Source organism: Homo sapiens, chromosome 10, assembly GCF_000001405.40.
Source record: "Homo sapiens chromosome 10, GRCh38.p14 Primary Assembly".
Classification (NCBI taxonomy): Eukaryota; Metazoa; Chordata; class Mammalia; order Primates; family Hominidae; genus Homo; species Homo sapiens.
Genome location: NC_000010.11, coordinates 17,876,538 through 17,900,700, shown reverse-complemented (window position 1 = coordinate 17,900,700; position 24,163 = coordinate 17,876,538). Strand labels below are relative to the sequence as shown.

Genomic DNA, 24,163 nt, shown 5'->3' with positions numbered 1-24,163 from the left:
TAAGACCATGATTTGACATAGAACCTGGAACATTTGAGAATAAAAAGAACACTATAAATCATTTCTGTCAACTCAAATTCAGTACATGCAGCCTTTCTTAGAAACAGTTATTTCTTAGAGATCCCCAGGAATACATCCTTGGAAGTTATTTCAAAAAACACTAATAAAAAAAAATTTATCTCTTATTCCGTGAAACTCCCCTTGTTTGCAGGTTTTCAGGGCAAAAGAGAAGTTTTATCTTCATAACAAATAAGATATTTCTTATATTATTATTGAAATTATAATAAAAATTAAGTAATTTTCATTAAATTCATGGACACCTGAGAGAAATGCTCATCTCTTCATATCTTCTCATTATTCTGTTGTTGAAACAGCACCAATGGTAAACGGCTTAGCTAAGGTCATGGAAGAGAGGTATGGAAGAGAGGTAAGGGTATGGAAGAGAGAAGCCTTAGTCTCTTGATTTCTAGTGAGGCAGTCTTTCAGCTATATTCTAGTGAGGTGGTCTTTCGGCCATATGACATCACATATATATGATGTAAAAAGCCAGTCATTTTAGTCTACTTGCACAGTCAATTTCTTTCTTTTTTTTTTTTTTTTTTTGAGAGAAGTCTCGCTCTTGTCCCCCAGGCTTGAGTGCAATGGCTCGATCTAGGCTCACTGCAACCTCCACCTCCCGGGTTCAAATGATTCTCCTGCCTCTGCCTCCCAAGTAGCTGGGATTAAGGCACTGCCACCATGCCCGGCTAATTTTTGTATTTTTTAGTAGAGACGGGTTTTCACCATGTTTGCCAGGCTGGTCTTGAACTCCTGACCTCAGGTGATCTGCCTGCCTCAGCCTCCCAAACTGCTGGGGTTACAGGCGTGAGCCACCGTGCCTGGCCTGCACAGTTAATTTCTTATTAAATTTAGTGAAACAAATTTATGATCACATACAAAATATTGATAAACATCAAAATATTATTTATCAATAATATCCTTTTAACAGTCTAATAGAGATTTTACAGGTATTGTTTAAGAATAGATGATATATAATATTAATCAGAGGTAGCTGAATTTTTCAAAGATTCAAGCAATTATCACCCTTTTGACTGCATTATTTAATTTACGAAGCCAATTGCCAAAAATCCAGTGACAAAAATTAGAAGTATGTTATCTCAAATTAGAATTTTGTAGTATTATACCATATTTAATCAAATAATGCTTGTATAATCATTAACTCTATAGAAATAAGGAAGATAATAATACTGTTGTAGTCATAAATATTGCCACAATGAAAAACTATTTAATCTTTCTAAAAATAAAAGCTTACTTTAAACTCATAAGAGAATCGTGAACATGTCTGTGAGAAGAAAACAAATGACTTATCAAATGACTTAATTATAAAAACTTAGTCAACAGCGACGTAAAAATGTCTTGCCTAAATTTAATCACAGAAATCATTCTGAAACTACTTACTTTTAAATACACACTTCCCTACTTAGGAAATACTCATTGTATAAATTGTAAATTTCTATCTCTGCATCATGGCCTTGGAAGCTTCATAACATCTGACACTCATCTACTCTCCAGTTTATCTCCTTTTTTTTTTTGTCTTCTTGATATTCCTTCCTTATGTTCTACCATCCTAGACTATATCTATAAACTTTGGCTTTTTCTGAGGAACCTTCTTGGTCCTCCCCACTAGCCCAACTGGTCCCTTTTCTCTCTTCTCATGACACTTTCTATATGCCTCTCTTTGATACTTCTTATATCTTAATTGCTGACTGTCATATCTACTTCTACTAGGAAGCTTGCTGGTTGGCTAGCTAGAAGGATGAATAGAGGGAGGACAGATGCATGACTAGGCATCAGAGAAGACTCATTTTAGGAATAATTTGGCAACTCTATCAGCATTCTTAGTTTTCTGCCTCTTCCCTAGTCTTTGCCAACCTTAGTCTATTATGGAATACAAGGAACTGACTGCAATGAAATATTTCTCACAAATGGATGGGAGCTCCACAACCTCAGGACCTACAACAAGTCTAGAACGTCTTGCCACAACAAAAAAAAATTGTCCCCATCACTGGCAACTATGTCCCTAACCTGCTTTCTTAATTCTCATGCCATAGTTACAATCATGACCTTGGAAGCAATAAGCGAATAAATTAAACTGTTGAGATTTGGAATATAATTTTCATAGTCTAATGCAATAGGAGAGTTAACATTCATCAGATAATTCTTAGTTTGATTTCTGACACATATCACTAGCTTGCCAGATCCTTAAAGGCATCACGTCCCTGAAAGATTGGATCTTGTTGATGTTAGTATCATTCACATTGCCTAGCACAGTCTCTTACACATAATGAGTATTCAACAGAACAAACAGAAAGATAATCATATTCAACCATAATTCACTGATCATGTCAAGTTGCACATATTTCCAGCATCTTACCAAGTTACTGTTCAGGGCGATCCACACACGTTCATTAGATGTTTCCATCTGCAGCCACGCAAATGCATTACTGTAGGGATCCAGAATGCTGGCTATAAGGGAATTGTGAAGCTTGCAGTATGTCTCCGCTTCATGCCATTGAAATTTTTGTCTCATGAGTGAATAGCTGCTTTTGCCATATTTAACAAAGCCATCTGTTTGAATCGTTGCTGGAGGATTAGTCAAGGAAGGGTCTAGATAAAAACATTATTTTCATTAGCATTATCAATAAACAGTAATTGAGCCTTATCAGTAATGATAAGTGTATCTCATCTATCATAAAAATAAGCAAAGTAGCATAACTCCAAACATTCAGCTGTTAGAAATATTTTATAAGCCATTTCACACTAGAAAACAAACATTTTTTCATCAGTATCCCTGATCAAATTAAATTAATTCCAAACTATATTTAGAATATTAAGGCAAATACATGATCAAGTTTCTAAACTAACAAACAAAACATGTGACAAATTCAATCCAATCTGGTATCTTGATGAAAGAAATGCCGTAGTTTAATCCCACAAATTAAAGAACATAGATGATTGTGTCATTGCTAATCTTTATTTTTCCATGTACGTTAAAAGTCAAAGTCAAGAAAAGTCTTTCTCTTCCTCCCTCATTTGTTCTACTTGATCCATGAGTTTGTATCTGTTTGACTTCACTTGTGAGTAATGCACATTCAGGTAACGGGTGTAGATTCTGGAATGCAGCCATACACAAGTCCCTGGTTCGTTTAACCTTGATCTCAAGATCAAGCTTTACTCTTGATGATTTTCTATGCCCTTCGCCTATGGGTAAAGCCTCCCATAATCTTATCCAAACTGACCTAGGGGTTGGAGCCCCTACAAGCCAAATCACTTCAGCTTTCTGATCTTTTGTCCTCAAGCTCCTAGCATGTGTTTCTAATCACTGCATTGTGCCCCCTGTACTCTGAGCCACTTCATGTCAAGACTCCCAAAAGAGCTTGTTTCTGTCTGTATTATCTGATGCCCTAGAAGTCAGCAAATAATAGCCAGAGGATGAAATCTGACCTGTGGTCTGTCTTTGTATCCTGTGAGCTGAAAAAGTTTTTAAATGGTTGGGGATAGAGAAGAATCAAAGAAGAATAATATTTCATGACATGTAAATGTTACATGAAATTCAAATTTGTGTCCATAAATAAAGTCTTACTGGAACACAGCCACATTCATTTGTTTGTGTATTGCCTATGATCATCTGTGACCACAGCAGAGTTGACTATTTGCAGTAGAGACTGTATGTCCTGCAAAACCTAAAATATTTGCAATCTGGTTCTTTACTCTGGTCTAGGGATCGAGATATCCTTGTTTACCAGTGTGTATACTGGCCTTTTCTCCAATGTGTTCCACTTTATGCCTGCATGACCTGCCATTGGCCTTGTCCTTCACTACAGAAGTGCCAACTTTTTTGTTTCATTTCATTTCATTTTATTTTATTTTATTTTAGAGTCAGGGTCTTGTTCTGTTGCTCAGGCTGATCTTGAACTCCTGGCCTCAAGCAACCCTCCTGCCTCAGCCTCTCAAAGTGCTAGAATTACAGGCATGAGACACCACACCTGGTGATAAATTATAGTTTATAAAAGTTTATATGCTACCTTTTTTCACTTTAATACTGTGAATCTTTCCTTAAGTCATTAAAAATTTGCAAATGATTTTTATTTGTGGCAACATATTCTATCATGTATGTGTATAAGGAAAAGAAAGAGAAGTTTTTAAATAAGCGTGTGAATCACCATTCACTCCTGGAAGGAGTGTCCCCTCTTGTCCCAAAGAACAGAGGCAAAGATGGCATGGTTTGGTATTACTGCTGACCTAAGATTCTGGTGCTATAGAGTGTAGTATAGAGAGAAAAATGACATGCACTGGGATGGCTTTTGGATTGAGAAAGGTTAGGATTGCAGGAGTACTTCTCAACCATCTGAAAGTATCTTAGATGGTTTTCAGTCATTGTCATGAGTTGACATTAGTTCCCTGATTTCCAAAATAGTATAGAAAAATTCCTTAGGTCTGGGAGAGTAAGTACCTTCCAACACAAACCCATCCTTTAAGAACTCTACTCAGGATGACAGCAACCCTCACCACCTTCAACCCTCTTGTCTAATCTATTTTTAAATTTCTGACCCTTTTGTGTAGCTATGAGGTAGGAGGCAGGACTCACTCCAGACCAGATTGAAGACTGGCTGAAACTCTCCATAAGGCACACCCACCACTGCTGTGGCAGCCCCCAGAAGTTACCATTCCTTTTCCAAAAATTTTTGAATAACCTGCCCCTTCATTTGCATGTAATTAAAAGTGGGTATAAATATGAGTGCAGAATTCACTGCCTATGGCGTAAGCTCTGCTCCACAAGAAGCACTATGTCTGCTGCTGCTGTGCACTGTTGCTTTAATAAAAGTTGTTAACACCACCAGCTTGCCCTTAAATTCCTTCCTGGGTGAAGCCAAGAACCCTCCCGGGGTAAGCCCCAATTTCGGGGCTCACCTGCCCTGTCAACTAGGCATTTTTATTCTAGTTTCTCTAGAAACTAAAATGTATATAAACACCATCTTAATTGACAGCAAATATCTGCATACTGTGTTGTTTTCATTTAACCATATTCTGGCTTCCTAAGATGAAAAAAGAAACTCAGATCATATATCCACATGTTTAAGGCACACAAGATATAGGACAAATAATGAGGCACAAATGATGCTTTATGCCAAAAGTTCTTAAATTACATGAATTAAAGGGAGGTATTCCTATTCTGACATTTAAAAAAGGTACAGGTAAGCAAATATCCCAAATTTCTAATAGAAAGTTTTAGTGACAGGTTTAGTCTGCCCAAAACTGTCTGGTTAAAAAAAAAAAAGCAGATTCATGAATTAAGTATAGAAAACATTACCCTTTTTGTCTGTCATAGGCTTCCATGGATTAAAGCAACAATCAAACCTGTTGCTATGCAAGGAAATGATCATATATTTTATTTTATTTTATTTTTGTTTTTGTTTTTATTTTTGTGACAAAGGGTCTCACTCTGTCACCCAGGCTGGAGTGAGGAGCACAATCATGGCTCACTGTAGCCTCAGCCTCTCTGGCACAAGTGATCCTCTCACCTCAGTCTCCCAGGTAGCTGGGACTACAGGCATAAGTCACCACACCTGTAGTCCCAGCTACAAAAATAAAATAATTTTGTAAAAGTACAAAATAATTTTTGTATTTTTTGTAGAAATGGGATTTCACTGTGTTAACCAGGCTGGTCTCAAATGCGGGGGCTCAAGCAATCCACCCACCTCAGTCTTCAAAAGTGCTGGGATTACAGGCATGAGCCACAGTGCCCAACCATGATTATATATTTTAAAGTACATTTAAAAACACAGCTGTTCATCAGGACAAAGAGCTAATGCATGTGGGGCTAGGTGATAGGTTGATAAGTGCAGCAAAACACCATGGCACACATATACCTATATAACAAACCTGCATGTTCTGTACATGTATCCTGGAACTTAAAGTAAAATAAAATAAAATAAAAGTGAGGTCAGGCACAGTGGCTTACTCCTGTAATCCCAGCACTTTGGGAGGCCGAGGCAGGTAGATCACCTGAGGTCAGGAGTTCAAGACCAGCCTGGGCAACATGGAAAACCCCATCTCTACAAAAAATACAAAAATTAGCCAGGCGTGGTGGTGTGTGCCTGTAATCCCAGCTACTCAGGAGGCTAAAGCAGGAGAATTGCTTAAACCTGGGAGGCGGAAGTTGCAGTGATCTGAGATCACACCACTGCACTTCAGCCTGGGCGACAGAGCGAGACTCTGCCTCAAAAAAAAAAAAAAAAAAAAAAAGAAAGAAAGAAAGAAAGAAAGAAAAAAGTGGGGAAAAAAAAACCCCAGCTCTTTCAGGAAGGTAAGGTTTGGTAGAACTTACCGGATCGTGTCTGGCATATGTAGCCTCGTTTACTGTCGCAGGTATCATCCATCCATTTTCCTGCTTCATTTGATGCACCTCCAATAATAACAACACAGTCAGCCTGTATATTTATGGAGAAAGAAAAAGAAAACAATCATGAATCAACGACTATTGAAATCAATTCATTAATAAGCAAAAAAATCTTTCATTATCCCTGATTTCCAAATTTTAAGATTGTCCTAACTTAAGATATGCTCAATCCATCATTACTTTCTACCCAACTCTACCTACTATGCATATCCTCCACATTTGAACTCTCACTATATGAATCGAAAACCCAACCGATTTGGATAAATTTTGGAGACAGGACTGAGAAATTTTGCTATCAGACCTTTTATCCAACACTATAAAAACTTAGAAATCAAAGAAACTAGGAGAACACAGTATCCTCTCCATACTAATTACCAGTATTCAAACCCAAAAGTAGGTACCATATTTTTAAAGGGAAATGAGCATGATCTATATATTTCATTGCTAAATTTATAAAAGTATTATTATAGATTCATAGTATGTGGCTGGTATAGCCAGAAAGTTTCACATCTTATTTATAGTCTTACAGGGGAGTATGCCAGGACTGGAACAATATTATATTTGTTTGGTTGTGAATGTGTTTGCCATTCCAAATCCTTCTTTCCTTTATGTACTAAATATATCTCAGATTTTTTTTTCTGAAATGCCATTATTTCCATTCTAATCCTCATACCTGGTCCTGTTGGAGTAGAGGTAAGAGAAACACATGCTGCCTGCCCCATTTCAATGTACTATCTACACTTTAATTTGAAATATGGCATTTTGCTCATTTAAAGTAAGAGAAGGCCAGGCACAGTGGCTCACACCTGTAATCCCAGCACTTTGAGAGGCCAAGGCTAGAAGATCGCTTGAGCCTGGGAGTTCAAGACCAGCCTGGGCAACATAGGGAGACCTCAACTCTACAAAAAATAAACAAAATTAGCTGGGCATGGTGGTGCATGCCTGTGGTCTCAGCTACTCAGGAGACTGAGGTGGGAGGATCGCTTGAGCCTGGGAGGTTGAGGCTGCAGTGAGCTATGACCATACCACTGCACTCCAGCCAAGCTGAGAGAACAAGACCTTGGGAAGGAAGGAAGGAAGAAAGGGAGGGAGGGAGGGAGGGAAGGAAGGGCTGAGGGAAGCCAGAAATAAAGACAAGAGACCTGGTCAAATCACTTTGCTTTTTTGCTGGAGCCCCCAAATTTCACTGTGTTTATTTTCACAGTTATCTTCTATTTTTTTTTTTTTTTTCCTAGATGGAGTCTCGCTCTGTCGCCAGGCTGGATTGCAGTGGCGCAATCCTGGCTCACTGCAACCTCTGCCTCCTGGGTTCAAGCAATTCTTCTGCCTCGGCCTCCCGAGTAGCTGGGACTACAGGCGTGTGCCACCACGCCCAGCTAATTTTTGTACTTTTAGTAGAGATGGGGTTTCACCATGTTGGCCAGGATGGTCTCGATCTCTTGACCTCGTGAACTGCCCACCTCAGCCTCCCAAAGTGCTGGGATTACAGGCATGAGCCACCACGCCTGGCCAGTTATCTTCTATTTATGGTGACTATATCAATTTTCTACTTTCTTCTAAAAAGAAGTTTTCTTTTAAAGTAAATTTAAGCAAAACAAAAAAAAGGAGCACACTTAAAGAAAATGCTGAGAACTTAAGTCTCTAGTTGGATATGTAAGGAGCTTGGAAGTTGTCACTCCCAACCACAATGCAAGAAAATGGCGAGAAAAGCTGAACATCAACAACTTCTCTTAAATGCATTGGAAAATGGAGGTCACAAGACAAACAGCTGCCCCCCAGATTGGAGAAACGGACTGATGGATATAGGGAATAAGAATTGACCAGAGCAGAAGCCCAGGAGCAGAAAAAGGGAACAAGTATTGAGGTAGGAGATACTAAATGTCATTGACACATTGCTGGAGGTTCAGTGTGGACAAGTTTGAAAATTAAAAACTGTTGGCAGAGGAGTGCATGGGGAGGCAGTCCTAGAGAGACTGCAGAGTTTTTTGAGTTTTCCTTCCATGAGTCCTACCAGATTCTTACAGTGCAGACTGGAGAAAAATTTCCTCTTGCTTCCAACAGGAGAGGTGGGAAAAGAGCCATTTTAAAATACGACAGAGCATTCATTCTGTTCTTAATAAGACCAGCACTCAAGAGCAACAAGTTTACCAGTGCCTAACTAACTGCGGTTTCACCACACGTTAACTAACCTAGGAGAAAAGAAATACTCAACTCCAGCCTCTCTAGCTTTCCTGTCTCACCCAAAATGAAAAAGCAACAAAACAAAACCGAGAAGCACTTTCGAAGGTCACAGCACAGATTCCCTAAAAGTCAGAGTCCCCATCATAGGACTACGAAATACTTCCCCTCCCCAATATCTTACCACCATATCCTTGGGGCTCCCGTATGATAACAGGCAGATACAGCCGAAGAACTGTGCCTCTCTGACATTATTTCAGAAGTCTTTAGGAGAACCCAAAGACAACAGGAGAGACAGAAACAAGGACACCAGAGATTTTAACCTCTGACACCTAAAGTGACAGCAAACAGCAAACACAGCCTAATTCGTAGCTAAGTAAACATGAAACCTCACACTAAATGTCTATTTACCTCTGTTCCCTTTATCCACTACGTCAGCAGTTCCCAACCTTTTTGGCACCAGGGACCAGTTTCATGGAAGACAAACTTTCCACAGACTGGGGTGGAGGGTGGTTTCGAGATGATTCAAACGCATTACGCTTATTATGCACTTTACTGCTGTTATTATTACACTGTAATATGTAATAAAATAATGAGCACCGGGCGCAATGGCTCACGCCTGTAATCCCAGCACTTCGGGAGGCCGAGGCGGGCAGATCACGAGGTCAGGAGGTCGAGAGCATCCTGCCTAACACAGTGAAACCCCGTCTCTAGTAAAAATATAAAAAATTAGCCAGGAGTGGTGGCGGGCGCCTGTAGTCCCAGCTACTCGGGAGGATGAGGCAGGAGAATGGCGTGAACCCGGGAGGCGGTGCTTGTAGTGAGCCGAGATCGCGCCACTGCACTCCAGCCTGGGCAACAGAGTGAGACTCCATCTCAAAAATAAATAAATAAATAAATAAATAAATAAATAAATAAATAAATAAATAAAACTAGTGATACAACTCACCATCACGCAGAATCAGTGGGAGCCCTGAGCTTGTTTTCCTGCAACTAGATGGTCCCATCTGGGGGTAATGGGAGACAGGGACAGATCATCAGACATTAAATTCTCATAAGGAGCGTGCAACCTAGATCCCACGCATGCACAGTTCACAGTAGGGTTCACGTTTCTATGAGAATCTAATGCCACTGCTGATCTGACAGGAGGCGGAGCTCAGGCAGTGATGCGAGTGACGAGGAACGGCTGTAAATATAGATGAAGCTTAGCTCACTCGCCTGCCACCCGCCTCCTGCTGTGAGGCTCAGTTCCTAACAGGCCATGGATTGGTACCCATCTGTGGCCCACGGGTTGCAGACCCCTGCACTGTAATATATACCCAGCTTTCAACATAAAAATATAAGACACACTAAAAGATTTTTTAAAAACACACACACAGTTTGAAGCGAAGAGCAAGCATAATAAGCAGACACAGATGTGACAAAGACAGTGGAATTATCAAAAATTTAAACAACTATGAATAATATGCTAAGGGCTCTAATGTAAAAAGTGGACAACAAGCAAGACTGGGTAGGTAACGTAAGCAGAGAGATGAAAATGCTAAGAAAGGATCAAAAGGAAATTCTAGACATCAAAAACACCTTAAGAGAAATGAAGACTATCTCTGATAGGCTCACTGGGTGTGGCCAAGGAAACGAGAAAGGAACAGAAGAAGTATAATTTGAAGCAATAATGACTTAGAATTTCCCAAAATTAACGACTGACAGCAAATCACAGATCCAGGAAGCTCAGAGAACATCAGACAGGATAAATACTAAGATACAACATCTAAACACATCACACTCAAACTGCAGAAAATCAAAGATGAAGAGAAAATCTTGAAAGAAGCCAGACGAAAAAAAAAATCTTATCTCTAAAGAAGCAAGAATAGTAATTACGTTGGATTTCTTTTCAGAAACCACGCAAGCAAGAAGAGAGTGGAATGCAATATTTAAAGTGCTGAAAGAAAAAACCCACCAACCTAGAATTCTGTCTCCAGTGAAATTGTCCTTAAGAAGTGAAAAGAAAACAAAGACTTTCTCAGACAAACAAACATTGAGAAAATTTGTTGCCTGTAAACTTAGCTTGAAAGAAATGTTAAAAGGAAAAAAGAAGGAAAATTATATATGTCAGAAACTCAGGTCTATATAGATAAATGAAAAGCATTAGAGAAGGAATAAATGAAAGAAAAATAGAATTTTTCATTTTCCTTATTCTGAATTCATCTAACAGATACCGGTCTCTTCAAACAACTATAGTTGTTGTTAAACAACTATGAATAATATACTAAGGACTCTAATGTAAAAAGTGGACAGCAATGTATTTGGTGATAACGTATTTGGTGATAATAGCTTATGGATAAGTGAAATGAATTATAGCAATGTTACACGGGAAAGGAGGAAGAAATAGGAGATGCTTTCTTATGTGCTGTTTGAAAAAGGACTTGGATTAGTTGTAAATATATACTGCAAACTCAAGAGCAACCACTAAAGAAAGTTTGTTTCTGTTTTTGTTTTAGGCCAAGAGTGGTGGCTCATGCCTGTAATCCCAGTACTTTGGGAGGCCAAGGTAGGAGGATTGCCCGAGCCCAAGAGTTCAAGACCAGCCTGGGTAACACAGAAAGACCCCGCCTTTATTTGTAATAAAAAGAAAAAAGAAAAGAAAAAAGCTTTCTTAAAGTATAATTGGTATGCTAGGAGTGGAGAACAAATAAAATCATACAAAATATTGAAGTAAAACCAGAGAAGGCAAGAAAGAGTGGAAGACAAAAAAATGAAATACAGAATAAAAACAGAAAACAATAGCAAATATGATAGATGTTAACCCAGCTACATCAACAATCATTTTAAATGTTAATGGTCTAACTACACAAATTAATAGACAAAGACTCAGATATTGGTATAAGAAATTCACTTTAAATATAAAGATACACATAAGTTAAAAGTGGAGAAAAATGGAGAAAGATACGCTACACTAACACTAATCAAAAGAAAGCTAGACCAGCTATATTAATTTCAGACAGAGCAGACTATAGGGCAAGGAAAGTTACCAGAGGTAAAGAGGAACATTACGTAATGATCTAGCGGACAATTCTCCACCAAGACATAACAGTCTCTACTGTGTATGTGGCTAACAATAGAGCATCAACATATGTAAAGTGAGAACTGATAGAACTGCAAAGATAAATAGATAAATCCATGATTAGGACTGGAGACTTCAATACTCTTCTATCAAAAATAGACAGATCCAGCAGGCAAAAAATCAGTAAGAACATAGTTAAAGTGGACAGCACCAACAATCAACCAGATCTCATTGACATCTGTAAACTACTTCTTCCAATAATAGTAGAATATACATTCTTCTCAAGATCACATGAAACATTCACCAAGACAGACCATATTCTGAGCCATAAAACATGCCTTAACAAATTTAAAAGAATAGAAAACACATAAACTATTCTCTAAGACCACAATGGAATTAAACTAGAAATCAGTAACAGTTGGAGAATTCCAAAATACCTAGAAATTAAAGAAAATGTTAAGTCAATAATAATACACTAATAGTGACACACAAAGACAACCAAAAAAAGGTGACTGCAGTTTTTCTGAATGAAAGTACTTAAGAGACATGTCACTGTGAAGTCAGCACATCTTTAACCCATCCCTTGAGCTACAGTGAATCACAGCCTACACTCCTGCCACAGACATCTTGTCAACCTGCAGTGTCTTCATCCCATGTGCTGCAACTATCAGGCAACCTGAAACTTACATTTCAAAAGTTCTCCACTCACCCTATTTCCTTTCTTAACTATTTTTACCCCCCATTATCCTGGCTCAGAGTCTCTGATCCAGAAAACCTGTTACAATCCAAGCATATTTCCACCACAAAACACATATTAAAAGTTCTCTCCCATTCTCTTTTTCTAACTATATTTAATCCTCTCCATTTTAAAGTCCTGAAATTGTTTTTAAAAAATTATTGCTGGGAGTGGTGGCTCACGCCTGTAATCCCAGCACTTTGGGAGGCCAAGGCAGGTGTATCACGAGGTCAGGAGTTCGAGACCAGTCTGGCCAACATAGTGAAACCCCATCTCTACTAACAGTACAAAAAAAATTAGCCAGGTGTGGTGGTGTGCACCTGTAATCCCAGCTATTTATGAGGCTGGGGCAGGAGAATCACGTGAACCCGGGAGGTGGAAGTTGCAGTGAGCCGAGATTGCACCATTGCACACCAGCCGGGCGACAGTGTGAGACTCCATCTCAAAAAAATAAAATAAAATAAAAAGCATTATGTGTATTTTGATTCCATTTTTGTGAAATATAAACTTTATCTGTTTATATGCACTATGAAAATGTCTGGGAGAAAAAATCAACAAAAATGAGCAGTGTTGTTTTTCTGAATTGGTGAGATTACAGATTTTGTTTGTTAGTTTGTTTTTATTGTTTCTGCCTTTCTTTATGTTCTAGAAACAACAAAAATATGTGCAATAATGAACGTTTTTGATTTACAAGAAATTCACCTCTCATCCATTAAATCTAAGCTAATGCTATCTCGCTCCATTCTACTTTCGCTTCTTCAGTAAGTCTTTCAGCCCTCATTGGTGTCATGAGAATGAAAGAATTTCTCCACAGAAAATTATTTACCCATCACCAGTTTTTTGTTTGTTTGTTTTGTTTTGTTTTGTTTTGTTTTGAGGCGGAGTCTCGCTCTGCAGCCCAGGCTGGAGTGCAGTGGCGCGATCTCGGCTCACTACAAGCTCCGCCTCCGGGGTTCATGCCATTCTCCTCCCTCAGCCTCCGGAGCAGCTGGGATGACAGGCGCCCACCACCACGCCCGGCTAATTTTTTTTGTATTTTTAGTAGAGACGGGGTTTCTCCCTGTTAGCCAGGATGGTCTCGATCTCCTGACCACCAGTTATGTTTTATCTAGAGTAAAAGCAATGTTATTAGAGAAGTAAAGAAAGAAAAGAATGGCTACTTCACAGACACAGCAACCCTATGGGCTGCTGTCTGGCTCCATCACCAGAATGTATTCACCCGGCAAATAGCTACCAAATTATTAATGGTCATAAAAATGCCATTTTGAATAGGTCATTTTTCCACTGCTTTTTTTGTTGTTGTTGCTTATTCGACAAAGTTCAGACTCCATCACAGGGCATCTACATTTCTCTAAATTCTATTTCCCACCTTTTGAAGCTTACTCCTACTTCTTTTTCTGGATAAAACTCCTGCTGTATTCAAAGCCATTTACTCCATTTGCCCAAACACATCATGTATCTCTTGCTTGAAGGCTGCCCACCTTGACCATCTAACATGGCCTTTCTCAACCTTTTGCTAAGTTCCCCTAATTATTATGTTTTAAATTTATTGAAACAAAAACCTGAATGGGCGTGGTGGCTCATGCCTGTAATCCCAGCACTTTGGGAGGCCAAGGTAGGTGGATCACTTCAGGTCAGGAGTTGGAGGCCACCCTGGCCAATATGGTAAAAGCCCATCTCTACTAAAAATGCAAAAATTAGTCAGGCATGGTGGTGGGCACCTGTAATCCCAGCTACTTGGGAGGCTGAGGCAGGAGAATCTTTGAACCTGGGAGGTGGAGATTGCAGTGAGCCGAGATCATGCCACTGCACTCCAGCCTGGGTAACAGGGTGGCAATAGGTTGAGAGATTGACAGAGTGAAAAAGGGAGAGGGAAAGGGACAGTGAAAGAGGGAGAGGGAGAGGGAGAGGGAGGGAGGGAAAGAAGAAGGAAGGAAGGAAGGAAGGAGGGAAGGAAGGAAGGAAGGAAGGAAGGAAGGAAGAAAACACCCATAGTTGATTCTTTTTTATATTTCTTCCCTCCACCATGTCATGCAGACAGTGTCTAGCACATAGGACACCATAGACGTATGTCAACTGATTAAATCACCCCATCCCACAGTGAGTTTCTTTCCTCTTAGCTGCTACAGTGTTTATAGCTGATGCTGTCACTAGACATGTTCATTTCTTTCCTATCTTCCTTCTTATATAAGACTTGTGGTCTAGTTTAAGTGTACACACTTTTAAGGTAAAAACAAAATCTTCTATTTCTTCACACTTTTTATAATCCCTAACATGGTGTTGATGTTGATAAGTTGGCTGTTCAATTATATAAGAATAAAAGTAGTAAAATAAAGTAGCAATCTGTCTTCCAGGTTAATGTACAAAAGCATCTGGCACATAATAAGCAGTCTACAAATATTAGCTCATGATCATGATCATGATCATGATCATGATCATGATGGATGATGATCATATGATCTTTAGAAGCAGTAGTAGCTTCCAGGCCTACACCCCAAATACTAAAACAGCTACAAGGAATAAGGGGAAGGTGATACAAAGAAAGTTGATAACTCTAGGTTGAAGTGTTTCTTTTGACTGCAAGTTAGGCTCAGAATGGAACTGGGTTTCCTGACCTCTCACTATTGCCACTTCCTCAAGCCAAAGATTTTTTAACTGAATTTATACTCCCTCTCTCAAAGTCAGCTCAGTCTGAAATAGGTAAAATCTGCAAGCATAGAACAGATCAAGGAGTATTCTGGTAGATTCTTTCATGGAACAGTAATCAATAAGATGATAACCCTGTGCAAGCTGATGGTGTGTAGAGAGGTGACCTGAATCTGATATTTACATCTTCATAAGAAAGACTGCTTCTTCTTCCACCAGGGTAACCTTTCCCCCAGTTTGTGTAATGGACTCCTCGTCCATCCGTCCAAAGGAACGTGTGTTCTGAATTGACATCATTCAGCCCAGTCCAGGCACTGAAAGTGGAGTCCTTCATGTGATAGGTAAGAAATGCTGAAAGAAAATTTCATGATATAATTTTAAACTTTGAGAGTTAATACTCAAAATATGGAAAATATTCAAAATATATGAATTTCAAAATATTTAGCATGTGACTTGTGTCATTGTTACTTAAAAATACCTACCATGAACACACAAACATTCTAATATCAGCATTGTGTTGTCACTTGCGCTTTGGACTTTGAAAAGTTTCATACAATAAAAGTCTAGGTTTTATCTAGGCCACTGAAGACACTTGTGCAAGTTGCACCCTGCCCAAGGGCTCCATTCTGTGCGCCCCTATCTGGGTCGTGGCTGCCTACAACCAAAACTTTTTCTAATTCATAAAAAGTCACCGTATGGATTAGCAGCTGTCCCGATTCTGTAAATAAGATAATCTGATTTATATAATAACTATGGGACAAAGGACTCTTAACCCAGACAGTTCTGAAAAAATAAAAACTGTCAAAACAAGAATCATTAGGCTGTTGATATGGTTTGGCTCTGTGTCCCCACCCAAATCTCACCTGGAATTGTAATAATTCCCATGTATTAAGGGTGGGACTAGGTGAAGGTAATTGAATCATGGGGGAGGTTTCTCCCATTCTGTTCTCCTGATAGTGAATGAGATGAGTTCTTACAAGAGCTGATGGTTTTATCTTTTAATGCTTTGCTTTGCACTTCTCTCTCCTGCCACCATGTGAAGAAGGACATGTTTGCTTCCCCTTCCACCATGATTGTAAACTTCCTGAGGCCTCCCCAGCCATGTGGAAGTGTGAGTCAATCAAACCTCTTTCCTTTATAAATTACCCAGTCTCCGGCAGCTCTTAATAGTAGTGTGAGAACAGACTAACACAGCTATCAAATTATCAGTATCTCAGATTGCCAAACCAAAAGTTTCCCAATTGAGATTCCTCCTGGGGAGGTGGGGGAGAAATCCCTGAGATCAGTTGCCCATATACTCAGTGTGCTTGGATCTAGGGGACCATCCTGATGCTAAAATGCTCACATCAGGGGCTGGGGATGGTGGCTGGTGCTTATAATCCTAGTGCTTTGGGAGGCAGAGACAGCAACATTGCTTGAGGCCAGGAGTTCAAGATCAGCCTGGGCAACATGGCGACACCCTGTCTCTACAAAGAAATACAAAAATTAACAAAGCATCGGTGTCATGCGCCTGTAGTCCCAGCTTCTCAAAAGGCTGAGGCAGGAGGATTACTTGAGCCCAGGAGGTCGAGGCTGCAGACAGCCATGGTTGTGCCACTGTACTTGAGCCTGTGCAACAGAGGGAGACCCCATCTCTACACAAATCAATTAGTAATAAAGTGCTCACATCACTGGATGAGACTATAGAATATGGCTTCTTGCTTATCAGTTCTGTGGCCAAGAGGATGGTGGCAAACATCCAAGAGACATAAAAGGTTGAATTGTACATGTGCCCCTCCCCTTCCCTCAGCGTACCTCCAGGCCTCCCATGGCAGCTGCCATCTGGGGCCAACACCACCACCTGAGTCATTAACTCCTAGACCAACAAGTACCTACTCTACTGAACAACACTTTGCAAACATTTACACTTAAACACATCTGCTGAACATAAATAGGAAATAGAATGACTAAGCATCCAGGGTTACTTATAGAAAATGCAAAATAAAAATCTGCAGAGATGCAATTATCTGTGTATTCATGAACAAACAATCTCATAAAATTTCAAGCAATTCCATTGCTATACGCTTACTCTTTCTGCAGAGTAGAAGAGGCAGCTACCGTCTCAGAGACTTCTGTTTTTCTTAATTAAGGATTTAAAAAAAAAAAAAAACTCTTCCACCGTTTTTCAGAAAAGAAAAAGCAGCATGAGTACAGCTAGATATGGTGGCTCACATCTGTAATCTCAACAATTTGGGAGGTCAAGGTGGGAGGATCACTTGAGATCAGAAGTTTTAAGCCAGCCTGGGCAACATAGCAAGACCCTCTCTCTACAAAAAAATTTAAAAATTAGTCAGGTATGATGGTGCACACCTGTAGTCCCAGCTACTTGGGAGGCTAAGACATGAGGATTACTTGAGTCCAGGAGTTGGAGGCTGCAGCGAGCTATAATCACATCAATGCTCTCCAGCCTGGGTGATCAAGCGAGACCCTATCTCTAAAAAGAAAAGAGCATGGGTAGATATTTGTTTTGGTTTTATTTTGTTTTCCAAATAAGATCATAACTTTTGCCTCATCCCCAGCTTGAAATGAAACATGGAAAAGCTCTACCTGCCAAGATTCAGCACTTTTTTTCTGCCTACAACCACAATAAGAATTCAACTACGTGTGCCTGTTTTGCCAGGAATAATGTTATTTTATCTGCAAATTGTTTCCTTCTGCACATCTCTATTATCCAGTTTCAATTTCACTATGCCAGGAATCAGCACTTTGTGGTTAAGAGGAGAAATCAATTATTGTGTTTCTCTGCTGGGTAGCTAAGCCCAAAATGGGGTAGGCCAGTTGGAGAAATGTGAATGTTATGTTCTTGTACTGTGTGCTTTGGTTTGACCCTTTTCTTTCAGTGCCTGACAAATTGCTCAACTTGTCAAATGTTCTCGGTAAAAGCTTGGTTGGGATTTATTGTACAATGTGTTCTCAGAGAGCACATGGTGGCATTCACAAAGCCAAATAAACTTTTGAGAGAGCACCCTACATGTTTCTAGTGCCTTTCTTATTTCCTATGTTTTTCTTCTATTTTCTTTCTCATATCATTTTTGAAATAAATGATTCTAGAAGTCAAAGAATCTCTGAACCAAAAGAGAGCTTACATAACATTCAGTCCATATGTCTCCTACCATGTCCTTATAAAGTTATATATACAACAAACAACTGTTGAGCATCTTCTATACTACATACCAGCCAACATACCAGCCATTGTTCTGTAACAATGGCCCCCTAATTTTGAGCCTAAATCTATTTCCCTGTGACCATCACTCATTGGTTCCACGTCTTCTATCTGAGGCGACACAGGATGATCCTTCAAAGTCCACACCCTCTCTTTTCCAAGCTGTATAACTTGAGGGTCTTTCAACCCTGACTCACTTGCAGTGATTTCGAAACCCTTCATCAGTTTAGTCTTAATCTCCTGCAGTTAGTCAACACCCTCCTCAAAGGGCAAGTCACAATTTAACCTAATACCTATTTCAGTGGATGCCTCCACAGAAAGATCATGCAGAAATGGTGGGTACCTTTCTTTTGACGACAACATCATGAATTTTACCATCTGCTCTATGGATATGGTGAATATCCTCCTTCATAGTTCTGGCTTATTTTCATGTTTTATCAAAAAATATTTCAAAGCCAGGTATGGTGACTCACACCTGTAATCCTAACACTTTGGGAGGCTGAGATGGGAGTTTAAGACCAGCCTGGGCAACATAGTGAGACTCTATCTCTACCAAAAAAAAAAAAAAAAAAAAAAAAAAAAACTTTAAAAAATATTAGGCGAGCATTGTGGCCCAGGCCTGCCCTAGCTACTGAGGAAGCTGAGGCAAGAGGATTGCTTGAGCTTAGGAGTTCGAGGCTGCAGTGAGTTATAATCCTGGGCAACAGAGTAAGACCTTGTTACCAAAAAAAAAAAAAAAAAAAAAAATCAAAATTTGTTCAAAGTTCATATTTAAAATATCAACTTTGCTGCATTACAAGTTCTATGATCAAGTGACTAGAAGAGCAATAAATGGGAAAGCAGCAATTTTACATCTTATTCTTAGAAGTACTCTTCTTTGACTCTTTGGGAGCAAACTGATTTGGTAGAAAGCTGGACAAACCTAGGTTTGACTCCCAGCTCTAATGCTTAACAGGCAAGCTCCTTCACTCAAAGCTGTCTATGCACCATTTCTCCACTCACAAAATGGGGTCATAATACCTGCTTCTTAGAGTTGTGATGACTTTATATAAAATAAACAGCTTAATACGTGCTATAATGGAATAAAATAGTTTTCAATAAGCATTTGATTTTTTCCACTTTTTTAGCTTTTACACTGGAAAACCAAAAAGTCAGTTACTGTCAGCAATATTTTACCATTTTGCAGTCAGAATTCCATATTTAAACACACAACTAATTGCAAAATGGCCTGCCTACCTTGCTCTTTTTCATTTTGTATGGAGACCAGATTCCCTCCAAAGCCTATACAAGCTTTTCGTGCCTCTTGCCAATTTTTTCTTTCTTCTTCCATAAATCCAAAGATTTTGAAACACTGGGATGGAAGAGGGGCAGAGAAAAAAAGAAAAACTGCAGGGGTTAACTAAAGATGATCAACTTTGCTCTACAAAAAGCAAAATTATTCATGAAGATTATAGCTAAATCAGAATTTTCTCACCACCAACTGGAGATTTAAAAAATTGTTAGTTTTATGACCCACTCACTTTCTTTGCAAAGTTTTATTCTCCCTTGGGAGAAAGGATACATCCATGTGGATAATATCTCAAGTATGCTCTCAATTTCCATAAAGAGTTTGTCACGCGAATTTTCACCTATTCTTGCCAAAAATTTTCTAAAGTAATGAGGCTAGCAAAAGTTAACTTTGAGCTGAAAGATTTGCATCACTCTCCATACTGATCAGTGCCAAGATTGCAACTAATTTTCCTAGTACCTTGTTGCTGTAGAAATTCCAACCTTCCTTGCACCCTGATGGGACCGAGGGCATGGTAGGCATAACTGTGGTAGCATTGATACTACTGTTATGTCGCTGGCAAATGAAGGCGTTTGGATAGCCACAGTTAATGTCATTCCAAAACCCTGGCAAAGAGAGAAATAGTTAAATTAGATTCATATGTTTATGTTTTAAAACATTATTTTAAAAAATATATTTCTATTTTACAAGAATTCTCAAAACTTATTTAGACTATAATCAAACTTTATTTTTATATGTGACTAGAGGTATCCATGCAATATCCTTTTGCTGTTTTACTTAAACTAATAATAGTTCCACTTTATAGAGAGCATCCTATGAACCAAACATGTACATGATGTTGCAGATATATTACCTAAATGGTAGTAGCTAATCATAATAATCTAACAACAGCAAACTTTGTATACACCGAGCATCTACATAGTATTTTAGATGTATGATTTCATTTTATCTTCTCAACAATTGATAGATTGTGTCATTATTCCCATTTTGCAGAATAATAAGGAGCCAGAGAGAAATAAAGGAGATAGATAAACAAATTCTGGATAAGTTTTTTCAAATCAGAACATGAAAAAATGGTTCCTAATTTGGGAAGAAGTGAGAAGATTAACTATGTCATTTACTAGTGTAAATGTTAAGCATCTATTCTCGTTACAAGTTGAACTGTTAGGCTGCCAAAATTAGAATTCTCCTTTATTCTCTCTTCTTATCTTGTCTGATGTAAGCACACAACTTGCTACTTTTAGTCTAGGGATGTGGCAAATGACACGCCACGCCACAAAGCAAATTCAATATGCATGACTTGCCTACCTGAATTTGAATACATGGTCACACAGTTTTCATCTTCATTTGCAAAATTGGGTTCACCTGTGGCCCAAGACACGTAATCCACTTTGCTTCCATCCATCCAACTGGAAAAGAAAATTCAGGCATTTTGAAACGATCCAATCATTAGACTAATTGGATACAGGCCAGGAGCAGTGGCTCACGCCTGTAATCCCAGCACCATGGGAGGCCGAGGCGAGTGGATCACCTGAGGCCAGGAGTTCGAGTCTAGCCTGACCAACATGGGGAAACTCCATCTCTACTAAAAATTAAAATTAAAAAAAAATTAGCCAGGCATGGTTGTGGGCTCCTGTAATCCCAGCCACTCAGGAGGCTGAGGCAGGAGGATCGCTTGAACTGGGAGGCGGAGGCTGCAGTGAACCAAGATCGCACCATTGCACTCCAGCCTGGGCTACAAGAGCAAAGCTCCACCTCATAAAAAAGAATAGTTGGCTACAGCCTACTGGTGGGACAGGACAAGTCAACCCAGAAGAGGGAGACCTCCAGAGAGTGGCAGGAAAACCCCCAATGCCTGAGTATGTGGTGTGTCCTATGCATCATGCTCCGCAGTAGCAACCCTGATGCCATGTCCAGGCTACCTTCTTTTCCCTCCCAGGAAGAAACCACCTTTAGTCGCAAAGTGGAGACCCTGATTACTCTGGAAGTGAGCCAGAGACAAAAATCCTCCCATCGTACTCCCCGGGCATGATTCCCACAAAACCAAACCACCCATGGAGAGGCAGAGTGTATAGAATTTCTCATTAGACTCATTCTCTGATTCTCGTGTTTACTCTAGTTTCTTGTAATGTAGGTGGGCTAAACTTATGTCTATAAATTATAGAAATTCAGAGACTGTGAGAGCCAGAAGGGGACCAGCCATGAGATCATGAAATTTGACCTTTTCACTTTAGAAATGATAAAATGGCGTTCCTTGTCCAAAGCAAGATCCAACATTTTTACTCTTTAAAAATAATGACCCTGTGGGGTATGGTGGTGCATGTCCGTCATCCCAGCTACTTGGGAGGCTGAAGCGGAAGGATTGCTTGAACCCAGGATTTCGAGGCTGTAGTGAGCTGTGATCACCCCACTGCACTCCAGCCTGGGCAACAGAGCAAGACCTTTCTCAAATAATAATAATAAAAATAATGACCTTGAATTTAGGTCTCTATTGCTCAAAGATGACAATAGCAGTCCCCTGGAACATGTAAGGCTAAAAAAATCTGCACATGAGCCAGGAGGACGTATCTGCCCTTCAAACTCTAGAGGACATATGTATTAAGGTACAAGAAAAAAGAACATAAAATGTATTCATTTTCTCATGTCCCTACAGCTTTTTCTGGCTCCTATATCTAATAGAAAATGGTACAATCACCCTTTTAAAGGGAATGTATTTCCTGCAGATTTAAAGTGTGCTTCAAAATAGTGCTGCTAACACAGGGAACAGGGCAATAGGAAAGGATACTGTGGTTCCCAGCAGCAAGGTTAGCAAGGTTATCATCCCAGATGGGATTATAATTTTTTAAATAAATTCAGTATTTGTATATGTCTAAAACAACAACTTTTTAGTAGATGATTTACTGACAGATGATGACATCTGAAAACAAAGAAAAGTGTAGTTTTGCAAAACTGAATCCAATTTTGAGTTGTTTGTTTGGAATTTATAGTGCTGAAAATATTTAATAGAATCATTTTAAATTCCTTTTTTCAAGTTGCTTTTTCAATTGAGAATGCTGTAGGATTTTTAAAAATGCATTCCACAAAGAAAAATCTCAAAATAACTCATAGGTATTGGTCAGAACACTAACCCAAGCAAAGTTGTTTTTAGCTTGATTTACTTACGCAAACTTTTTATCCAAGCTGATCAATAAACCAATAAAATATGCAGACTGTGCATCATTTCTGTTTACCTGAAACATGGAAGTTTACGTATAGTTTAATTTAGAATCACACAATCAGGAAGTTCTTAAACAAAACATACATGTTAATGAGGCAGCCTAATCGAAACCTTATCTAGAGAGGAATTTCTGCAGAAATGTAGTACATTCTATATTATGTTCTTCCTAGAAATAAAAAAAAATGCACACAATTTAATAATTTGAACTTGTAAAGCAGGAGTCTTTTATTTGATGCATAGTCCTACAATCCTGACTGCCTACTTGGTTTTAAAGAATGTCTTCAACAATGTAACTACTGTAGGCATTTAACATTATGGAGAATGATTTAAGGTATTTGCTTTACAAATTCAAGTTATTAAATTGTGTATAAATTTTTCTTTTTTATATAAAAAAGAATAATCAGTTATATGTAAAATGAATCTATATGTCAAATATATATACAAAATATATATATGAAAAATAGTCACCCTGTGGGAGATGGTGGTGCATACCTGTAGTCCCAGCTACTTGGGAGGCTGAGGTGAGAGGATTGATATGTATAATATAAAATATATTATACATGTATTACATATATTTTCTATATATATTTTACATATATCATATATTTATTTCATGTTATTTAAGTATTTATTTTATATACATATTTTATGTATATATTACATATATATTATAATTTATATCTGTGTATGAGCCAGGAGGATATATCTGTTCTTCAAACTTGGGAGAACATGTGTATTCATGAACAAGGAAAGGAACCCCAAAATGTATTAATTTCATTATAATGTACCATTTCACTATATATAGATATATTTGATTTTCATATATATACATAATATATATATATAGTTGTGCAATATTAGAAAACATCTTGAGAGTTTCAAAGCAAGGTATATCCACAAAATGATGTTAAGTCAGAGTATACTCTAGTACCTTTATAAATCAAATGAATTTTTATTCTTTCAGTACTGTTCAACTTATTTTTTCCTGCTCTCTCTGTTACCTCCTCTCTGGCAATGAGGCCATGAAGAATTTTAATCAGAAAGATACTGAGCAAAGCACTCTTGGAAAAAATAAATTATACCTTCAGTGATAGGTATATCAATGGTATCACAATTTTGTTACAACCAAGAAAGATGATTATAATAAATAGTCAAACTCTGTTATATAGCTAACAATTTGGGCCATGTAAGCCAGATTTTTAAATTAAAAATTAAACTATATGATACACAAAGGGTCCAGGACTGACATATAACAACTAGTTAAGAATTATAATCTTTGCAAATCAAATTAGTGAACTCAAATTAGTGAATTCAAAGCCATCAAGTACTGATCTTCACAAAATCCAAGCTAAAAAATGGTTCTGAGACTGGGCAC

General features: G+C 38.6%; 1 protein-coding gene across 1 annotated transcript in view; it reads right to left on the bottom strand.

The window, feature by feature from the left end:
• The window catches only part of MRC1 (mannose receptor C-type 1), a 101,817-nt gene that overhangs the window by 10,464 nt on the left and 67,190 nt on the right, over positions 1–24,163 (bottom strand). Inside the window, exons 18-24 of the mRNA NM_002438.4 lie at positions 22,734–22,801; positions 20,880–20,980; positions 20,031–20,176; positions 19,520–19,634; positions 15,266–15,432; positions 6,389–6,491; positions 2,435–2,667 (exon numbers count right to left, since the gene is read on the bottom strand). Coding sequence (NP_002429.1) covers positions 2,435–2,667; positions 6,389–6,491; positions 15,266–15,432; positions 19,520–19,634; positions 20,031–20,176; positions 20,880–20,980; positions 22,734–22,801 — 933 coding nt within the window. The remainder of the gene's footprint in view (positions 1–2,434; positions 2,668–6,388; positions 6,492–15,265; positions 15,433–19,519; positions 19,635–20,030; positions 20,177–20,879; positions 20,981–22,733; positions 22,802–24,163) is intronic.